The sequence below is a fragment of the Homo sapiens genome, chromosome 7 (genome assembly GCF_000001405.40).
Source record: "Homo sapiens chromosome 7, GRCh38.p14 Primary Assembly".
NCBI lineage: Eukaryota > Metazoa > Chordata > Mammalia > Primates > Hominidae > Homo > Homo sapiens.
The window spans coordinates 38,474,365-38,494,118 of NC_000007.14; the positions used below are offsets into that span (position 1 = coordinate 38,474,365).

General features: G+C 36.2%; 1 protein-coding gene across 8 annotated transcripts in view, besides 5 other annotated features; it reads right to left on the bottom strand.

The window, feature by feature from the left end:
• AMPH (amphiphysin) overlaps window positions 1–19,754 on the bottom strand; it is a 247,670-nt gene that overhangs the window by 90,661 nt on the left and 137,255 nt on the right. For all 8 annotated transcript variants that reach the window (XM_006715690.5, XM_011515271.4, XM_017011996.3 and 5 more), the window contains exons 5-7: window positions 16,686–16,781; window positions 2,498–2,605; window positions 967–1,052 (exon numbers count right to left, since the gene is read on the bottom strand). In XM_006715690.5, coding sequence (XP_006715753.1) covers window positions 967–1,052; window positions 2,498–2,605; window positions 16,686–16,781 — 290 coding nt within the window. The remainder of the gene's footprint in view (window positions 1–966; window positions 1,053–2,497; window positions 2,606–16,685; window positions 16,782–19,754) is intronic.
• Window positions 819–988: an enhancer, noted in NCBI's record as "experimental_98586 CRE fragment used in MPRA reporter constructs". NCBI's record gives its function as "activates a minimal promoter by MPRAs in K562 erythroleukemia cells, with activity observed for the non-introgressed 7:38514868 variant allele {active_cell/tissue: K562}" and the evidence as "EXISTENCE:reporter gene assay evidence [ECO:0000049][PMID:34662402]".
• Window positions 1,280–1,449: an enhancer, noted in NCBI's record as "experimental_98589 CRE fragment used in MPRA reporter constructs". NCBI's record gives its function as "activates a minimal promoter by MPRAs in K562 erythroleukemia cells, with activity observed for the introgressed 7:38515329 variant allele {active_cell/tissue: K562}" and the evidence as "EXISTENCE:reporter gene assay evidence [ECO:0000049][PMID:34662402]".
• Window positions 2,991–3,160: an enhancer, noted in NCBI's record as "experimental_98595 CRE fragment used in MPRA reporter constructs". NCBI's record gives its function as "activates a minimal promoter by MPRAs in K562 erythroleukemia cells, with activity observed for both the introgressed and non-introgressed 7:38517040 variant alleles {active_cell/tissue: K562}" and the evidence as "EXISTENCE:reporter gene assay evidence [ECO:0000049][PMID:34662402]".
• Window positions 8,937–9,106: an enhancer, noted in NCBI's record as "experimental_98599 CRE fragment used in MPRA reporter constructs". NCBI's record gives its function as "activates a minimal promoter by MPRAs in K562 erythroleukemia cells, with activity observed for both the introgressed and non-introgressed 7:38522986 or rs1558617 variant alleles {active_cell/tissue: K562}" and the evidence as "EXISTENCE:reporter gene assay evidence [ECO:0000049][PMID:34662402]".
• Window position 9,022: a transcriptional cis regulatory region, noted in NCBI's record as "Neanderthal adaptively introgressed variant 7:38522986 (GRCh37/hg19 assembly coordinates) or rs1558617 in the experimental_98599 CRE". NCBI's record gives its function as "modulates activity of the experimental_98599 enhancer by MPRAs in K562 erythroleukemia cells {active_cell/tissue: K562}" and the evidence as "EXISTENCE:reporter gene assay evidence [ECO:0000049][PMID:34662402]".

Sequence of the window (19,754 nt, forward strand, 5' to 3'; positions counted from 1 at the left end):
ATGGCTGGACACTGAGGTAAAAACTAGCCAAAATTTCATCCAGATATTTCAGTTCAGAGAGAAACACAGAGTGCCTTTTATTGGCAAAAATTAAAAACACTAGCGATGAACACAAAAATGGGCAAACTTTAGTATAGACCCTCAAAATGCTTACAATTTTGGTGGGTAAATAGAAGCTCTAGAATTTGTATATAGGAAGGCTTTAGAGGCAAATCCATCTAGTTGGAAGTTAAGAAATAGAGGACCTGATTTAAAATAACGTGGCATTATTTTAAGCACAACTCTGGCTAATTTGGGGTGGGAGCATGAGGATGCTGACAGAGATTAAGGATCATAAGGTCCTATTTCATCCAACAACTTCTTTGTTCTACCACTGAGTAGGAAAAACAGAACAACTATTTCAAAATGCACGTAATTCCACGAGAAATGCAGAGTAACGTGTAAGTAAGAATATCTGGTGCTTAAAATACAAATACAGTTCAGATTTAAAAGTCAGGGCTTAAAGTAGAGGCTTACCATCTAAGCCAGATGACTAGATGAGCTCTTGGAATAAAGGAAGTTCCTCCAAGAACTGAAAGGATATTATTGTTAAGTTTCAAGATGAAGGGCAGTCCTCCTAATGCCTCTAATTGAGATTTAGGTCTCCACTTGAGAAATAGATCAAGGTCTAAAATTGTGTCATCCTATATGGCAGCTACTAGCCACAGGTGGTTATTTAAATATAAATAAATTAGAACAAAATAAATTAAGTTTAAAATTTAGTTCCTCCTTTTTAATCCTAGCCATATTCCAAGCAATCAATACCCACTGGTGACAAGTAGCTACCATACTGGAAAGCGCAGATAAAGAACACTTTCACTGGACAGTGTTGAAATGTCACAGTAATAATAAAGACAAGATAAGGGATATTCACTGATCTTGAATTTCTAAAAGGAACATGTGCAACCCATAGAGAAACATTTTTACCTTGACCATAATGATGGTAACTCTTCTTGTAAGTCAACGTTAAACTCTTCAAACACTTTCTGTGCTTTCTGAAATTCTTCTTCTGCCTAGGAATGAAACATAACATGTGTTTACACTAAGAAAGACCATTTCTATACACAACAGCATCATTTAATGTAAAATAAGAATAGTCTTATGGCATCTTGGAAATATTTTGAGAAGGAGAGTATTTGGTTAAAAGCATATCCTTGTTTTTCAATTAAACATGAAACACTAAGACTCCCTAAAACTGGAAACCGGATTGATTACAATGGTTGCTCTTGCAGTTTCTGGCTGATTCATTTATTCTACAAAAATGTGTTAGCTGCCTGCCATGTAGACAGCTCTGCTATGGATACTGAACATGAATGCATCCCCAGGAAATTCCCAGCCTAGTGGAAAGTCTAAATAATTACATTACAGGATGTATTTACAAAAGGGACTTACAATGTGTTATAGAGCATGCTATATGGAAGGTGGTGCAGAGAAGAGAGAAGGTAATTTTTTAACTGAATCCTAAAGAATCAGAAAATGTTTGCTAAAGGAGGGGGTAAGAAAGACATTACAATACATAAAGGTGGAAAGCCTTGAAATGGAATTCCAGCTTACCATGTGAACTTGTCAGACTGCTTTACCACTGTGTACCTCACAGGTTGTTTTGAGTATTAAGGAAAGTTAATGTAGATGAAGTGTTGAACAGAGTGCCTGGTATCCAGGAGGCCTCTCATGAAGGGCATTTGTTATTGTGAACTGCTCAGAAACTGATGTGTAGTTCTGGCTCATGGTATGTTTATGGAAGAAGGCGAGGAGGGGAAAGGAGACTTGAAAGTTGATCAGGATGGACAGGTGAGTTACAGCCAAATTGTGAGGATCTTTTATGCTGTACTAAGAAATAAAGTATTTTTTGTAGAGGCAATAGAAACCATTAAAAGACTTAAGCAGTTGAGAAACATATCTCGATGTAGAAAGACCATTCAGGCAGCTGTGTGTAGGCACATAGGAAAAGGCATGACTGGAAGAAGAGGGTATAGTTAGGAGGTGACTTCAGTTAGTCGGCATCTGTAACTTGCTGACATACATGGTGAAAGCTACTAAAAAATGTTTTCTAACAGAAAATTTGTTTTATGCAAATCCACACATCCGTACTCTCAGACAATCAAAAGTCACCTCTGAGAATTTCAGCTTGGTGTCCCATCTGCATCTGCATTTCAGCACTGAGGGTGGACCACAACCATCTAAGGAAGTGCAGACACACTACTTTCTTTGATCCCGCAACATTGTAGGTCAAAGTTTATTCTGATCAAAATGTGTGAGTCAGTATCCCCCATATGAACTGTACAATATAATGAAAAGCCTTATTTTAATTAAAAATAATAAAAAGCACTATGTTTCAGTTTAAATTCTGTTCAGATTCCAATCTCCTTTTATAGAGGAGGCATTTAATTTTAAAAAGTAAAGCTGCAACAGGTCATAAAATACGGAGAGTGGTATTCACCATGGGCTCAATCCCTACCTTAGAGATTCGACTCTCATCCTTCCTCTTGGAGCTCTGCAGAGCTTCCAGATGGTGGCGGGCACTGTCATAGTCCACTAGCTTCCTGCTGCGCTTGGCGATGCGATTCTGTCAACAGGAAATGCACTCACTAAGAAAGAAGCATGGACATAAGAGTCTCCCTTTGACAGCCAGGTGCCAAAATGCTTTCCTTGGCCAGAGCTGCTGAGGATCTTGACTGGAGATCAAGATGGGCTGGAGTTTCACTAGCTAAGTGACTCCTGAAAATCAGATGAACACCTCCAATCCTTTGTGTTGAAGCCATTAGATAAATATCTTCCCTTTTGATAATAATTAGGCTAATCACAAGCAGCTGAGGGCAGAGTTTGCAGTCAAAGACCAGAAAATAATCCAGAATTGGTCAGGGAGAGAAGGCAAAACTATACTCATTATTCTCTAGTCGAAATCTTTAAATGTTCTATTCTGAAGATAGTGGGAAACTATGTTAGATTTGGTTTTATAATTCTGATAACACTCACACCAACAGCAATTCTATAAAAACAGATTTACTTCCCAAGAAATCTCTTTTCCTACAAGTGATTCTCAATACTTTGTTCATTAGAATCCCCTGGACTAATGTGTCATTTGGAATAGCTGGTGGCCAAAGACACAGGGCCAAAGGCACAGATTGTGCTAATGGGCAAGCTCTTTCCCATGGGTCAACATTGGAAGCCATGAGAAAGTCTGAGAACAAGACATTCCCTTGCAGTGTGGATGAGAATGAGGTGATATATGGCTGCTAGGGGATAGGCGTAAAGCCCTGCTCATTTCTATGGAACATTTCCTCTTAACAACAACAACAACAACAACCACAAAAACAAAAAGCTTTAAGCCGCTTGAGGAGGGGGCACCAAACCCTTCTACCCACAGGTGCAAGCAAAGATCTACTGCTTCTCGGGGAGCAATAAAAGTAAAACCAATGTGGCTCTGGTAGAGATGGAGAGCCTTCTGACCTCTAGATTTTAGGCAAAAATAATTGCTGTAGGCAAAAGGGTAAAAGAAAAAGTCTCAAGGGGCATAAAAGCTTCCTAGGCCCAAGACCTGACTCCTACAACAAGTAGTGGACTGCTCCAACTTGGGCAGGGAAGGAAACTCTCGCTCAAATCCAACCACAGATATGAGGCTGACTTTGCCTAAAACAAGGCCGGGAAAGGATTTAAAACAAACAAACAAACAAACAAACAAACAAAACAACAACAACAAAAACAGCCCTAACTCCACTACAAGCTATAACACTAAAAAACAAGCAATAGTGGCCTACCACTGGAGGAGGACAGTGCAAGGAGAGAGACCCCTTCTGCAGAGGGGTCTCTACAGGCATACAAAGACAACTAAAATCTAATAAGCAGCAGCCACACTGAGAGAAACCCTCCAGCACCTAAGGGCCCCCAAGTCAGGCTTCAACCTAAGAATTTGAAAATATTACAGATATTAAAATATAAGTACAAGGCATTAGCAGTCCAATTCTGGAGGAATTTGAAAGCTGCGGTGCACTGAAGTAACAATAGCAAAAATAAAGACCCAATGCAGCTCAGGTCCTGATTAATTGATTCCAACTCTCACATTAACGGCCTGACAAAAAGGCTGGCCAATTTCCAGACATAAATATTATTTCAGTACTCACTATCCTATACATGATGTCTGGCATTCAATCAAAAATTACAAAATACACAAAAACAAAAAAACAACAATCCATGAGAAAAGGTAAAGCAAACAACAGAGACAGACTCAGACATGACTCAGATGTTGGAAGTAACAAACAGGAATTTTAAAATGACTACGACTAATATGTTAAAGTATCTAGTTTGAAAAAGTCAACAACAAAGATAATCAGATGGGGAATTTCAGAAGAGATATAGAAACGTTAATGGTCAAATAGAAATCAAATGGAAACACTAGAAATTTTAAAAATGTTATCAGAGAGGAAAAATTGATTCAGTGGGCCCATTACTAAACTCGAAAAAGCTGAGGAAATAAATAGTGTACTTGAAGACAGGTCACAATAAATTATTTCCATTAAAACACAAAAAGGAAAAAGAATTGAAGAAAACAGAGAATTGAGCATCTAAGACCTACAATGTAATATAAAATGGTCTAACATAATATAATTGAGGTCTCAAAAAGAGATGAGAGAATAATAAGCAATATTTCAAGAGATAATGGCTGAAAATTTTTTTTAAATAATGAAGACATCAAAGTATAGATGCAAGAAACTCAGAGAATACCAAAAAGGAAAAATACCAAACAATACACATCTAAATACATCATAGTCAAACTACTTAACATCAAGAATAAAAGAAAAGCATACAATAAAAAGGTAAGAATTACGGGATGCTAATCTTCAGAAACCATGCAAACCAGAACACATTGGATGATATATTTACAGTACTGAAAAATAAAAGTTAAAAGAAATCTGCCAACTCAGAATTCCACACCCAATGAAAATATTTACAAAAGTGAAGATGAAATATTTTTTTTCAGACAAACAAAGGCTGAGGGAATTCATTGCCAGCATAAGAATTTTAATATGAAGTGGAGCTACACAGAAAAATGAGTACCAGAAATGATAAAAATCAATGTAAAATATAAAAGATTTTGTTTTCCTACTTTTAATTGCTTGAAAAGGTAACTGATCATTCAGAGCAAAAAAACATAACTAATGTATTGTGGGGTTTATAACATGTAAAAGAAAAATGTATGACAATAACAGTGCAAAGGAAAGGAGGTGGGAACTGAAAGTGTACTGTTGTACTGTTCTTAAATAATACATGAAGTAATACATCATTTCAAGTTAAACCTAATATGTTAAAGATGTATATTATACATTATAAGGCAGCAACTAAGAAATAAATTAATAAAGAAGTATCTACGTGCCCCATAAATATGAACAATTATTATATGCCAATTAAATAAATTGTTATACATCAAATAAATGAGAAAAATGTAAAAATAAGTAGAACGAATAAGGAAGTATCATAAAATATATTGACTCCTGAGCCCTACACTAAGAGATTCTGATTTAATTAGACTGAGGCAAGCCCTAGATATCTACAGTTTAAAAAAAATCTTCCCCGTAGTCCAGTTATGCCCAGCTATTTGAAAAATAAGAACTAACCCAGGAGGAGATGCTTTAAAAAATTTGATATGGTAGGAAAAAGAAAAAAAAAACACAATAATATAAATGGTTATGGCTTACAAGGCATTGTCACATCTGATGGATCCTTCTAGCAACCTACAGAATGAGTGTTTCAGGGATTATCTCCATTTTACTTTTAGGAAATGTGGAGCTGCATGAGATAACCTCTAATTTGTCCGAAATTGCTCAGCAAGTCTGTGGCAAAAGTGAACTGAATTAGAAGTTGGCCCCAGTGACCAGCGCCAGGAGTAGGGTGAGGCAGGTGAGACAGGGCACAAAATTTAAGAAGGCCCCTTACTCTCAGGGTCATGTGAGTGCAGGGTTAGCAACTTCCTCCCTCTAATTTGCACCACGGGTTCTTTGCTCACCTCATCCAATCTCATCCCTGCTTCTCAGTCTCGGTTAGTGCTTCTTCCAACAGCTCCCACCATTTCTCTGACAGACTTTATGAGTCAACTACAACCTGTCACTCTATGCTATTCTTCTACACACCCTTCAGGACTGGTGAGAGGTGGGTTGGGGCAGTTAACCTCTTTGGCTATTTCTAATTGCTTTCATTTTCCCTGCACCTACCACTTACAACTAGTATACTAGCAGAAAGCATGGAGATACACACCCAGTCACTCAAAGTATGCAATGAGTTAGCCTAGGCAGAGTAGAGTGGAAACCCTTCAATTAGGTATGGTGAACACCATGTGCCTATAAGGTGACAAGGCTCATTACTTTTAGCAAAAATGTGTTACCTTCAAAGGAGGCTATCCCTTGAAGCAGTGGCCTACGTAACTATATGCAAACTCTTATAAAGCTCTTCCTTATGGACTTGCCTTCTAGCCTGGGGCATTCCTTTAATATCTTCCAAGTAGCAAATCTTGATTCTCTGAAGATGAATTTGATTTTTGAAAGCATCTATGAATCAATAACTTTTAAGTCTTAGAATAAGATGGAAGAGTGCACTGGGTAATCTTATTTTTGTTCAAAAACAAGAAGCAAAGTAAATAATGTGACTCATTTTCTTATGTAATTTTTAAGTCAATTACAAGGATAGCTTACCATGGTAGAAATGACTATTTTGAAGAATATCACTCATTTTGATGCATACATTTTGGGGTTAGAAAAGATAAATCAATCTTATTTCCTTACCTATCTGATATTTGGGAAACTTGGGGGGAAAACCCAAATCTCCTAAATAAGGGTAAGGTTGACACACATTAGCTTTTTTTAATGGAAAATTATATAATTCTCTTATTTAACCATCCAATAGGAAACTTAATTAAATTACATTATAAATTTAACTTACATTTCTTGAAAAGAGAAAAAGAAGTTGTTGAGATTTCTCATTGTGCACTGAACCTCTATAGTTAAAAAATAAGTTATTATACATTTTTTAAACTTCCATAATAATCCCAAATTGGAATTCATTTTGGTACACTGCAGTAAATACATGCTTAGTTGCTCATGCATGGCTGCCAAGATAGAATCCAAACTATATTTTACAATAACTGCTCACAGCTGTAAGCCTGCCTGGGTTGGTGACAAGCAGGCTCTTATTATAACAGTGATTTCAGATGTCAATGCTGCATAACAGAAACCATAACGCAGGGTATCCCGCCAATCACAGCTGGAAAAGTTAAACATCATCCCCTCATGAATGGTCCTTCATAGCCCTCACTGATGGGCTCAAGTAAATATTTGGAAATTTGCCTGAGGTTTTAACTGCACATGGCCTGTTGATTTCAATAGGAGGCAAGGAAGTCAACTGTGTTCCATGCTTTAAAAATTCTCCACTGAGTATTTTTGTAAAATACTCCACCGAGTATTCTACTAATAATTACTTTAAATGTAAGTTGATTAATCTTCCTTTCCATCATAGCTCATTCATTACATAATCACTCAACACTATTTTTATAAAGTGATGGAGTCTATATCTACTTCTAACTTCCCTTCACTGAATAAAGGCAGACAGAATAACTTAAGTCCATTTTCACAGAAAAACTTCTTTCAAATATTAAATACAGCTATCTTCTCACTTTCCAATTCCAAATTATCTCCTTTCCAAGTTAATAGCATAGCTATTACAAGTTAATAGCATTTTGATTTCCTCAACTGTTACTTGTGTTATATGGCTTCACAATTATCTATCTTGGTTGATAGCCTCTATGTATGCTCCAGTTTCCTAAATGTGGCTTGAGGGAGACAGAGAGAGAGAGATTCAGCCTCTTTCCATGATACATAGAAAACCTTAACGTATATTTACCTTACCTTCAGGGCATCCAGCAAAAGATCTAGATGATATTGTTTCCAAATCTCTACATGGTTCAGAAACTGCAGGATCATCTTTGTATATGACCTCAACCATGGACCTCAATAAAAGAATTGCTCAAGGAAAAGTTATATTGAGCTCTTCATCTTTCTGACATGGAATAAACTGAGAAGACCAGCCAATATAATCTGTCATAATTTTATTTTAATCTTTCTGTGTTTCAATAAACGTAATTCTGTATGTGCTTGTATTCTGAAATTACATGCTCCTAGACAGTGTGGCCAATTTCTAAATATAGTACAATAACTAAGATCTTCCCATTTTATTAATGATACTAAGTTTTTGTTCCTGAAACTCAAAAAACTTTCAGATGTTTGCTTCTCTAGTTAGTCACAGCCTTTATTTGCTTAGCTAAGTCATACTATGAACATATATCATATGAATAATTTGAACAAGTTGTAAGCTGCTTTGGAATTTTCAGGTAGGAAGACACAATTTAACCTCTTCTGATTTCTTAAGTATTGCTTTTAAGGAGATTAAATTACCATGCAATAAAGGTGATGGTAGCAAGATGGAAGAATAGGAAGCCCTGGACTCTCCTTCCCCACAAACATACAGATTTAATACCAACACAGGAATCAATTTTTGTTTGTAAGACACCCAGAAACTCGTTGAATAGCTCCTTAACCCTTGGCAAGTGCAAATCCAGCCACATTGAAACAAGCAGGAAAAGGGGAGCTACATTCTTGCTATCCCTAGCACAGTGCCATATAATGAAGAGGGAACCTCCAGCTACCTACTTCTCAGTGAAGAGTGAAGAAATAGGACAGCACATCTAGCATCCCAACTTTTCTGACTTCTACCCAAGGGAGTGCCTTCTACTTGCCTGTCTGGGATAGCTGTCAGGTCCAGCATACACTAGTCCCTGGGGTCTACAGAGAATAAACAGAGGTTTGAACATGAATGCAGGCACTTGCCATGGCTCCTCTCCCTAGGTTAGTGTAGAGCAAGCAGGAGGAAACAAATAAGCAAATAAAAACACACTTCTAAGTAGTATGGCCTACCATACAACTAGTTGCCACAGCCCCTCCCCTCAACTGAGGGATAAAACAAACAAACAGTAAAAAACACCCAGTTTCCTGCTTCTATCTATGCAGGGAAAGAGTTGAACAAGCATCCAACGATACAACCTTTGGGGGCTTCCCAAGAAAATGGCTTCCAAAGAAAATGAGTCTTGCTTGTCTCAGAGCACTGAAATGACCCAGCATTCTCTAGATGCCTAGGGGGTGCTAAGAACAAAGAAAACTGTCAGAATAGTCAAAAGTTTGAGAGGCTTCCAAAATCTATGACTGGGATGATTGGTGAAGGTCTTCTCCTATATGGAGCTAGTCCACAAAGATTAAAAGAGGTGGCTGTTTTGTCTAATATGAAGATATCAACATAGAGAACCAAGGTAAATTTAAAAACAGGGAAATATGTTTCAAACAAAGAAACAAAATAAATTTACAAATATCAACCCTAATGAAATGGAGATATATGATGTGCCTGACAGAGAATTCAAAGTAACTGTCACTCAGATCAGGAAAATAATGTATCCGCAAAGTGAGAAATTAAACAAAGTGATATAGAAAATATCAAACAGAAATGACAGAACTGAAAAATACAATAAGTGAACTGAAAAATTCACTGGGGGGGCGTTCAGTAGAATATTAGATCAAGCAGAAAAAAGGATCAATAAACTCAGACAGGTCATTAAGAATCATTTGGTCAGAGGAACAAAAAGAAAAACAAATGCAAAATAGTGAAAACAGTTTAAGGGATTTATGGGACACCATTACATAAACCAATTTATGCATTATGGGAGTCCCAGAAGGAGAAGACAAAAATAATCAGAAAGCTATTGAAAGAAATAATGACTGAAAACCTCCCAAAACTGGGAAAGAAAATGTTCATTCAAATTCAGGAAGCCCAAAAACTCCAAATAAAATGAACCCCTAAAAGTCTACACAGGGACACATTATAATCAATTGTCAAAGACAAATATGGAATTTCAAAGTAGCAAGAGAAAAGTGACTTGCTCACATACAAGGGAATCTCTGTAATACTATTAGTGGATTTTTAGCAGAAGCAGGCCAGAAGGGCGTCAGATGACGTATTTAAAGTGATGAAAGAACGAAAAAACTGTGAAACAAGAATACTTGTTTCTTGCATTCTTAAAGAAGAGATAAAGACATTGCTAGACAAACCAAAGCTGAAGGAGGTCATCACCATTAGGCCTACCTTATAAAAAATGCTAAACAGATTTCTTTAACATGAAATTAAAGGACACTAAACAGCAAACAATAGCATAAAAAAGTATAACATTTGTTGGTAAATGTAAATATATAGACAAATACAGAATACTTTATTACTGTAACAGTGGTGGGTAAATCACTTTCAATTCTAGTATAAAAGTCAAAAAGACAAAAACGCTAAGCATAACTATAACTAAAAAATATATTTATGGAAACACAATATAAATATATGCAAATTTTGACAATATAAAGTATACATGTGGTGAAAATAAAAGTATAGAGTTTTTATAGGTGATTGATGTTAATTTAGTTCTTAGCTTAAAATAGACTGTTATAAAATATTTTATCTAAATTCTGTAATAACCACAAAAATGCATATGGAAGTTACACGAAAGTAAAACAAAAAAATCAAAGCATATCAATACAAAGAAACAACAAAATACAACAGAAATTAGCAAGAGAGGAAAAGAGGAACAAATGAACAATAAGACAAACAGAAAACAATGAACAAAATGGTAACAGTAAATCCTTTCCTACTAATAATTACTTTAAATGTAAGTTAATTAAATTCCCAGTCAAAAGACATAGAGTGGCTAAATGAATTTAAATAAAAAAAGATCCAACTATTTATTGTCTACAAGAGATTTACTTTAGATTATAGAACACACTTGGCTGAAAATAAAGAGATGCAAAAAGATATTCCATGCAAATGGTAACCAGAAAAGATTAGGGATGGCTGTCCTTATCAGACAAAATAAATCTAAATTCCAAAACTGTCACAAGAGAAATGGAAGGACATGTAATGATAAAAAGGTCAGTCCCTCAGGAAGATACAGCAATTATAAATATAAAGCATCTATATATGTAAAGCAAAATGACAAACTGAAGAAAGAAACAGACGGCAATATAATAATAATACAAAACCTTAATACCCCTCTTTCAATTATAGATAGAACCACAATTTCAATTACAATTTCAATTATAGACACAATATCAACAAAGAAACAGTAGACCTGAGCAACTATCAAATGGACCTAACAGACATATACAGAATATTCAATCCAACAACAGCAGAATACACATATTTCTTAAGTTGCACATGGAAGATTTTTCAGTATAGAAAGTATGAAGGGTCACAAAACAAGTCTTAACAAATTTAAGAAGACTGAAATTATACCAGGTATCTTTTCCAACCACAATAAAATAAACTAGAAATCAATAGCAGAAAGAAAACTGAAAAACTCACAAATGTGTGGAAATTAAACAACACAATTTTGAACGACCAATGGGTCCAAAAAGATATCAAAATGGATATTAAAAAGTATCTCAGCACAAATGAAAACTAAAACAAGTAGCAGAAAAAGCTGTACTAAGTGGAAAGTTTTAGTGATAAACGCATACATTAAAAGGAAAGATCTCAAATAAACAACCTAACTCTACATCTCAAGGAACTAAGAAAAGAACAAATGAAACCCCAAATTGGCAAAAGAAAGGAAAGATAAAGATTAGAGTGGAAATAAGTGAAATAAAGATTAGAAAAACAACAGGAAAAATCAAGGTAACTATGAGTTTTTTTTTTTTTTGAGCAGATAAAATTAACAAACTTTTATCTAAACTAAATAAGATAGAAGACTCACATAAATAAAATCAGAAATGAAAGGTGATATATTACAACTGATGCCATAGAAATAAAAAGGTTAAGAGACTAATATGAACAGTATATACTGGCAAACTGAATAATATAGAAGAGACAGATAAATTACTAGATACATACAACCTAGGAAGACTGAATCATGAAGAAATGGAAGGTTTGAACACATCTTTAAGTAGTAAGGAGATTTAATAGGCAACCAAATACCTCCCAACAACAACAAAACCAAGACCAGATAGCTTCATTGGCAAATTCTACCAAACATTTAAAAAAGAATTAATGCCAATTCTTCTCAAGCTCTTCCAAAAAGATTGCAGGGGAGAGAACACTTCAAACCTCATTTTCTAAGTCCCTGATATCAAAGTCAGACAAAGACACCACAAGAAAAGAAAACTACAGACCAGTTTCGTGATTAACATAGATGCAAAAAACCGCTACAAAATACCAGCAAACTGAATTCGACAGCAGATCAAAAGGATCACCCATCATGACCAAGTAGGATTCATTCCTGGGATGCAAGAATGGTTTAACATATGAGAATCAATTAATGTGATACACCACATTAATAGAATGAAAGATAAGAATCGCATAATCCTTTCAGTAGATGTAGAAAATGCATTTGATAAAATTCATTATCCTTTCACGATAAAATGCTCAGCAAACTAGAAATAGAGGGAAAGTACCCCAACATATCAAAGGCCATATATGAAAAGCTTACAGTTAACATCATATCCAGTAGTGAAAAAGTGAAAGCTTTCCACTGACATCAGAAACAAGACAAGGATGCCCACCCTCACCACTTCTTTTCAAACGAAAAAATTAGGCAAGAAAGAGAAATAAAATTCATCCAGATTGGAAAGGAAGAAGTAAAATTGTACCTGTTGGCAGATACTATGAGGTTCTACATGGAAAACCCGAAAGGCTCTACAAAAAAACTGCCAGAACTACTAAACAAATAAGAATAGTTGCAGGATACAAAATCAACATAAAGTAATTAGTTGTCTTTCATCATACTACCTGACTTCAAACTATACTACAAGGCTACTGTAACCAAAACAGCATTGTACCGGTACCAAAAGAGATATATAGACCAATGGAACAGAACAGAGGCCTCAGAAATAATGCCATACATCTACAACCATCTGATCTTTGACAAATCTGACAAAAACAAGCAATGAGGAAAGGATTCCCTATTTAATAAATAGTGTTGGGAAAACTGGCTAGCTATATGCAGAAAACTGAAACTGGACCCCTTCTTTATACCTTATACAAAAATTAACTCAAGATAGATTAAAGACTTAAACATAAGACCTAAAACTATAAAAACCCTAGAAGAAAACCTAGGCAATACCATTCAGGACATAGGCATGGGCAAAGACTGCACGACTAAAACACCAAAAGCAATTGCAACAAAAGCCAAAATTGACGAATGGGGTCTAATTAAACTAAAGAGCTTCTGCACAGCAAAAGAAACTATCATCAGAGTAAACAGACAACCTACAGAATAGGAGAAAAATTTTGCAATCTATCTATCTGACAAAGGGCTAATATCCAGAATCTACAAAGAACTTAAACAAATTTACAAGAAGAAACCAAACGACCCCATCAAAAAGTGGGCAAAGGCTATGAACAGACACTTCTCAAAAGAAGACATTTATGCAGCCAACAAACATATGAAAAAAAGCTCATCATCATTGGTCATTAGAGAAATGCAAATCAAAACCACAATGAGATACCATCTCATGCCAGTTAGAATGGCGATCAATAAAAAGTCAGGAAACAACAGATGCTGGAGAGGATGTGGAGAAATAGGAACGCTTTTACACTGTTGGTGGGAGTGTAAATTCGTTCAACCATTCTGGAAGACAGTGTGGCAATTCCTCAAGGATCTAGAACCAGAAATACCATTTGATGCAGCAATCCCATTACTGGGTATATACCCAAAGGATTATAACTCATTCTACAATAAAGACACATGCACACGTATGTTTATTGCAGTGCTATTCACAACAGCAAAGACTTGGAACCAACCCAAATGCCCATCAATGATAGACTGGATAAAGAAAATGTGGCACATATACACCATGGAATACTATGAAGCCATAAAAAAGGATGAGTTCATGTCCTTTGCAGGGACATGGATGAAGCTGGAAACCAACATTCTCAGCCAACTAACACAGGAACAGAAAACTGAACACCTCATGTTCTCACTCATAAGTGGGGGCTGAACAATGAAAACATGGACACGGAGTGGAACATCACACACCGGGGCCTGTCGGGGGGTGGGGGGCTAGGGGAGGGATAGCCTTAGGAGAAATACCTAATGCAGATGATGCGTTGATGGGTGCGGCAAACCACCATGGCACACGTATACCTATGTAACAAACCTGCACATTCTGCACATGCATCCCAGAACTTAAAATATAATAAAAAAATTATTAGTTGCCTTTCTATACACTGGTAACAACCTGAGAAAGAAGTTACGAGAGCAATACCAATTACAATAGCATCCAAGATACTAAAATACTTAAGAATAAACCTAACTGTGGAAGTGAAAGGATTTATACACTGAAAACTATACAATATTCAAAAATAAATTAAAGAAGGCACAAACAAATGGAATGGCATCCTGGGTGCACAGACTGAAAGACTTACTATTGTTAAAATACCCATACTACCCAAAGTGATCTACAGATTCAATGCAATCCCTATCAAAATCTTAATGGAATTTTTAACAGAAAGTTTTTTTTAATTCTAAAATTCACATGGAAGCACAAAAGATCCCAAATAGCCAAAACAACTTTGAAGAAGAAGGATAAAGCTAGAGGCATTACACTTCTTATTTCAAAATTTGTTACAAACCTCAGTAATTAAAACAGCATTGTCCTGGCATAAAGACAGTTATACAGACCTCTGAAACAGAATATAAAGCCCAGAAGTAAATCCACAAATATTCAGTCAACTGATCTTCAAAAAGGGTGCCAAGAATACAGAACTGGGAACAGGCAGTCTCCTCAATAAATGGTGCTGGGAAAACTGGATATTTACATGCCAAAAAATTAAATTGGACCTTTATCTTATACCATACACAAAAATCAACTAAAAATGGATTAAAGACCTGAATTGTAAGCTCTGAAACTGTAAAACTCCTAGAAGAAAAGTTGAGGGGGGGGGAAGCTTCATTTTCTAAATGAAGATGTTTTAAAATAAACATTGGTGTTAGCAATGATTTCTTGGACTTGACACCAAAAAGATAGGCAACAAAAGCAAAAATAGACAAGAGGAACTGCATCAAAGTAAAAAGCTTCTGCTCAGCAAAAGAAACAATCAAGAGTAAAATGCAAGCTATAGAAATGGAGAAAAGATCTGCAAACCACATGTTTGATGAGGAGTTAATTTCCAAAATATACAAAGGAACACCCAGAGCTCAATAGAAAAAATAACTAATAATCTGACTTAAAAATCGGCAATGGACTAGAATAGACATTTCTCCAAAGACCTACAAACAACCTCAGAGAAGCAAAGAATACATAGAATGATGGTTGCCAAGGGCTAGAGAGAGTTGGAAAATGACAGTTGCTAATTAATGGGTATAAAATTTCAGTTACGTAAGATGAATAGGTTCTAGAGATCTGCTGTGCCTACAGATAACAATACTGTATTGTGCAGTTCAAAATCTGTCAAAGGGTATATCTCATGTCATATGTTCTTACCGCAATAAAGTACAAAATATAAATTAAATAAAATAATTTTGAAAATAATTTGCCATGCAATAAACAGTACTCTGAAGTGATTACTATTGTGAGACTGTCTGCTCCACAAACATTACAAATCCCAAGGCAAAAATTGAGTGACTAATCAAAATTATCTGAAGATGTCTCAAAACATGTTCCCTGGTGCACATGGTCTTACAGAATTTTTAACAATTTAAATTTTTAATTTCTCAGAGAATTTTTAAAACCCAATTCACACCTGTTAATTAGGTTGCATTTGCCCAACTACTTAGTAAAGCACTTTGCTGCCTAATATGGTAACATCATCGAAAATCTACTGTTTGGATTTGCTCTATGTGGCATTTTGTCAATAGGTCTAACACATTTAGTCAGATCCATTTAGTTTCATTTACCATATACCAACCCTGATAGTTTAAAAGCCATCTTTACCTCCAGAGTCAATTCCAAATCTACAATATTCAATCCTTCACTTGTCCATTTACCTCTGTAATAGATTCAAGGGTCAAATAAGATCAATGTTTCAGACACAATATTTTTAGGTCCAGATGCAAATGTATTTAAAATGCTTATATCTTAACACTTTAACTTCAACCTGAAAATTTCAGTGAGAGAAAAACTATCCAGGTTCACTATAAATGCATGCAAAATAGACAGTAAAGAAGGAAAGATCAGGTTTTGCTCTCATATTTACAATGAAATTTCTCACTTCCTTGTGACCACTGGTTATTCTAATGGAAATCCCTGTCAAATGCTATATAATAAAAGTTTTGATTATAAAGAAGATTGGAACTTTTGGTAGCTCTGGTTTATGATTTTATATCTATAGGTTTAAAAAGACTTCTGTAGAATAATAAAAGCTGAAGCAGTTCACTAAAAGCGAAATGTGATTTCTGTAATGACGTTTCTTTTCAAACTGATAGGAACAACATAAAAATCCCACGCTTAAATAAATGAAAAGTTACCAACTATCTTTGATGTCAGTTTGAGGACTTGTAATAATTCTTCTCTTGCCCATGTTTCAATAACTACATGACCCCACTCAATCCTTCCCTTTATAGACACAGAGTAAAATACCTTTATGTCAGGAAATTGCCCCAGGTAGGTATCCAGTGTTAGCAAGGACCCATCCACGAGTTTTTGATGGAAGTCTTCCCACAGCACATCACATTTCTAAAAGAAATAAAGAGACCACTGCTGAATTATTTTAATTGGATACCTTTCACCAAACTTCTAAAAAAATCTGAAACTATAAAATTAGACAAGTAATACTTTCCCAGATATGAGATGCTAGGGGAAAAATGAGAATCATTTAATAATGCAATAAAATTTTAAGGCAATTTGGCCACTGGTTCTAGTTAACAAAACAGGCTAGCTCAGAGCTCAGCTCATTAAAACTGTATTTCTGATTCTAAATTACTAAAGAATGCAGAAACTTCAAAAGATCCCCATAACCCTATAGATGGACTTTGGGGCTAAGAGACTGAGAATAATTCCACTAAGACAGTTTGCTTTTGACGCACTCCATGAAATCAGAAAAAAATCCACCACTGAAACAAACAACAAATCATTTCTGAAGCCTCCCCAGGGAAAACAGAAAAGTTACAGTCATATTGGGAAAGGTCTTACCATTTATGGAGTATCAATTATGTTAAACGTACAATGAATATTAGGTATTACTATTATTACAACTAGTATTCCTACTGTCACTATGTTAAGGCATTCTCAAAAATTGTTTTATGAGAAAAGACTTTGTTATTTCCACAATACAGAAGAGGACACTGAAGCCCAGAGATGTCACATAACTTGGCCAAGGTTATAAAGTTGATAAATGACAGACACAGGCTTCAACTCAGATTTGTCTCCTTGAACTCAAAGCCATGATATGAAAGTCAGGAAATGACTATCACACCAGGCTGCCTCACCAGAGGACTTTTTATCCCAGCTGTGTGACTTTGGGGAACTAGACCTCCCTGAATTTCAATTCCCCCAGTTATATGAGTTGGCAATGTAAAGTGCTTCACAGAATTTCAGGCAAATAGCAGGTACTCAAGAATGTCATCTTCACATTTCTCTCACTAGCACATTCCAGGTCTCTTGACACAGTCTGCTATTTGTCACCAATCTCTACCCTTTCTTCCTTCCTACTAACTGAACCTCCCATTTTAGCTCGGCCCTTGGCCACCTAGGATAAAGACTCCACTTCCCAGACTCCTTTGCAACCAGGTGTGGTCATGTGGCTGTGTTCTAGACAATGGGATGTACTTTCAGGAAGTGTCCTGAAAAAGAGGGAAGGAGTGGGCTGTCTTCCAGACTTCATCCTCCTTGCTAACTGGCATGCAGAAATGAGAGCTGATGGCCAGTGCTCAGAGAGTCACCTTGCCCGTGAAGGCATGCTAAAAATGGCAAACTTGGGCCCCTCATACTTGTGGGGCCAATATGCAACACCTGGACTGCCGACCTTTAAATTCCTCTATGTGACACATAAGTTTTCATCTTGTTAAAACACACACACACACTTTTAAAATTTGCTTTTGTTTCTTTCTCACACTTTGAAAAGTAGTCCTAATTTTTACAAATCTCAATTCAAGAATTTCATGCAAACCAAAACATTTAAATCCACTGTTTAGAAAGGCTCAACTGCTGACGTGAGTAGACCCTCTGAACATGCAGTATTCAGTTTCTTCATCATCACAAGAGCCTATGTTTGCATGTGCAACTGAGGATTCCAAAAAACCGGGCAGCTGCAAGAACCAAGGTAGGATAACAGTCATTTCCTTTAAAAAAGAAATGGCAATAGTGACCTTTGCCACACATAGAAGGTAACATGGTGTTCTGAAAAGTTATTAACACAAGTTTCTATTATTTCCTTAAAAATTATTTTTTTGTGATGAATTTTTAGTTATACCACTAATTAGAAATTTACAAAGTATTTAGCAACATGATGTTGAAATACTGTGTTTTAATTGAAGAAATGTGAGAAGATGCAATTACTTAATAATTGCATCTGAAAGTAATGTGTGCGGTCTGCTTTGGCCAAATCTACATCCTGAAAGTTTTTGAAAGATGTAAAGGAGCCAACAAATGCTTTCCTCATAAATAAATCTCTGTTAGCATCTCAGTTATAAGAAGATTATGAAGCTCAATGTCAGGGTGTCAGAATATCCATGGAGCAGCCTAGGACTCCACTGTTAACGCAGGTTTTCCAAGGCTGCACAGACATTCAGTGCATCACCTATCAGACCTTCCCCTGAGCTCTGGCTGCCACATCAAATTTAGGTCGTCTGTGCCTAAATGAGCTGCAATAACTCACCTGGAGTAGAGGACATGACAAACAACTGCTCTTCGTTTTAACAAAGAACTTGGATGTGAGACAATCTGTGACTGGCAGTTGTCTCACATCAGTAATCATAATATGTACCAAACACTGAGTAGGTAGAGGACATCCACACAAAGGCAATAAGTGTCTTATTAGTAGATACATTTTTTTTTTATTTTGTAGATGAGGAAACTAAAGCCTAAGAAGATCAAAGAACTGGTCCAACGTCACACAGCGCTACTCAGTCTCTGGTCCATTCTGCTTTCCAGAGAACAAAACCCACTTGCTCACTCCTGTCAGCCAGAAGCCTGATTTCAAGTGTTAAGACATGTCTAGGGCCAAAGCCTTCCTGAAGTCAAATTCCTTTTCACAGTCTGACTTTGTGCTTGTCTTCGTGAAGTGAAGATTTGTGAACGGACTAGCTGGTATTAAAGTGGAATGGATGCTCTTCTGAACTCCTGTCCCTGCATTTGGGGAGGCATAGTCAATAGGGGGATTGAGATGAACGGGTGAAGTTGGGACAACACAAATCACACCATGATCCATGTCTGCTAGAAATGGGCTGTTAAGGCTTGTAGTGAGGACAGAAAAATGATATTGTTATTTTGCAAAAAGGAATCTTAAAACACTGCTCTCTACCCAAGTGGTTTTATGATCATCTTCACTTTTCTTTTATTTTCTTCGAGATGGAGTCTTGCTCTGTTGCCCAGGCTGGAGTACAGTGGTGCGATCTTGGCTCACTGCAACCTCCACCTCCTGGGTCCAAGCAATTCTCCTGCCTCAGCTTCCTGAGTAGCTGAGATTACAGGCGTGTGCCACCATGCCCG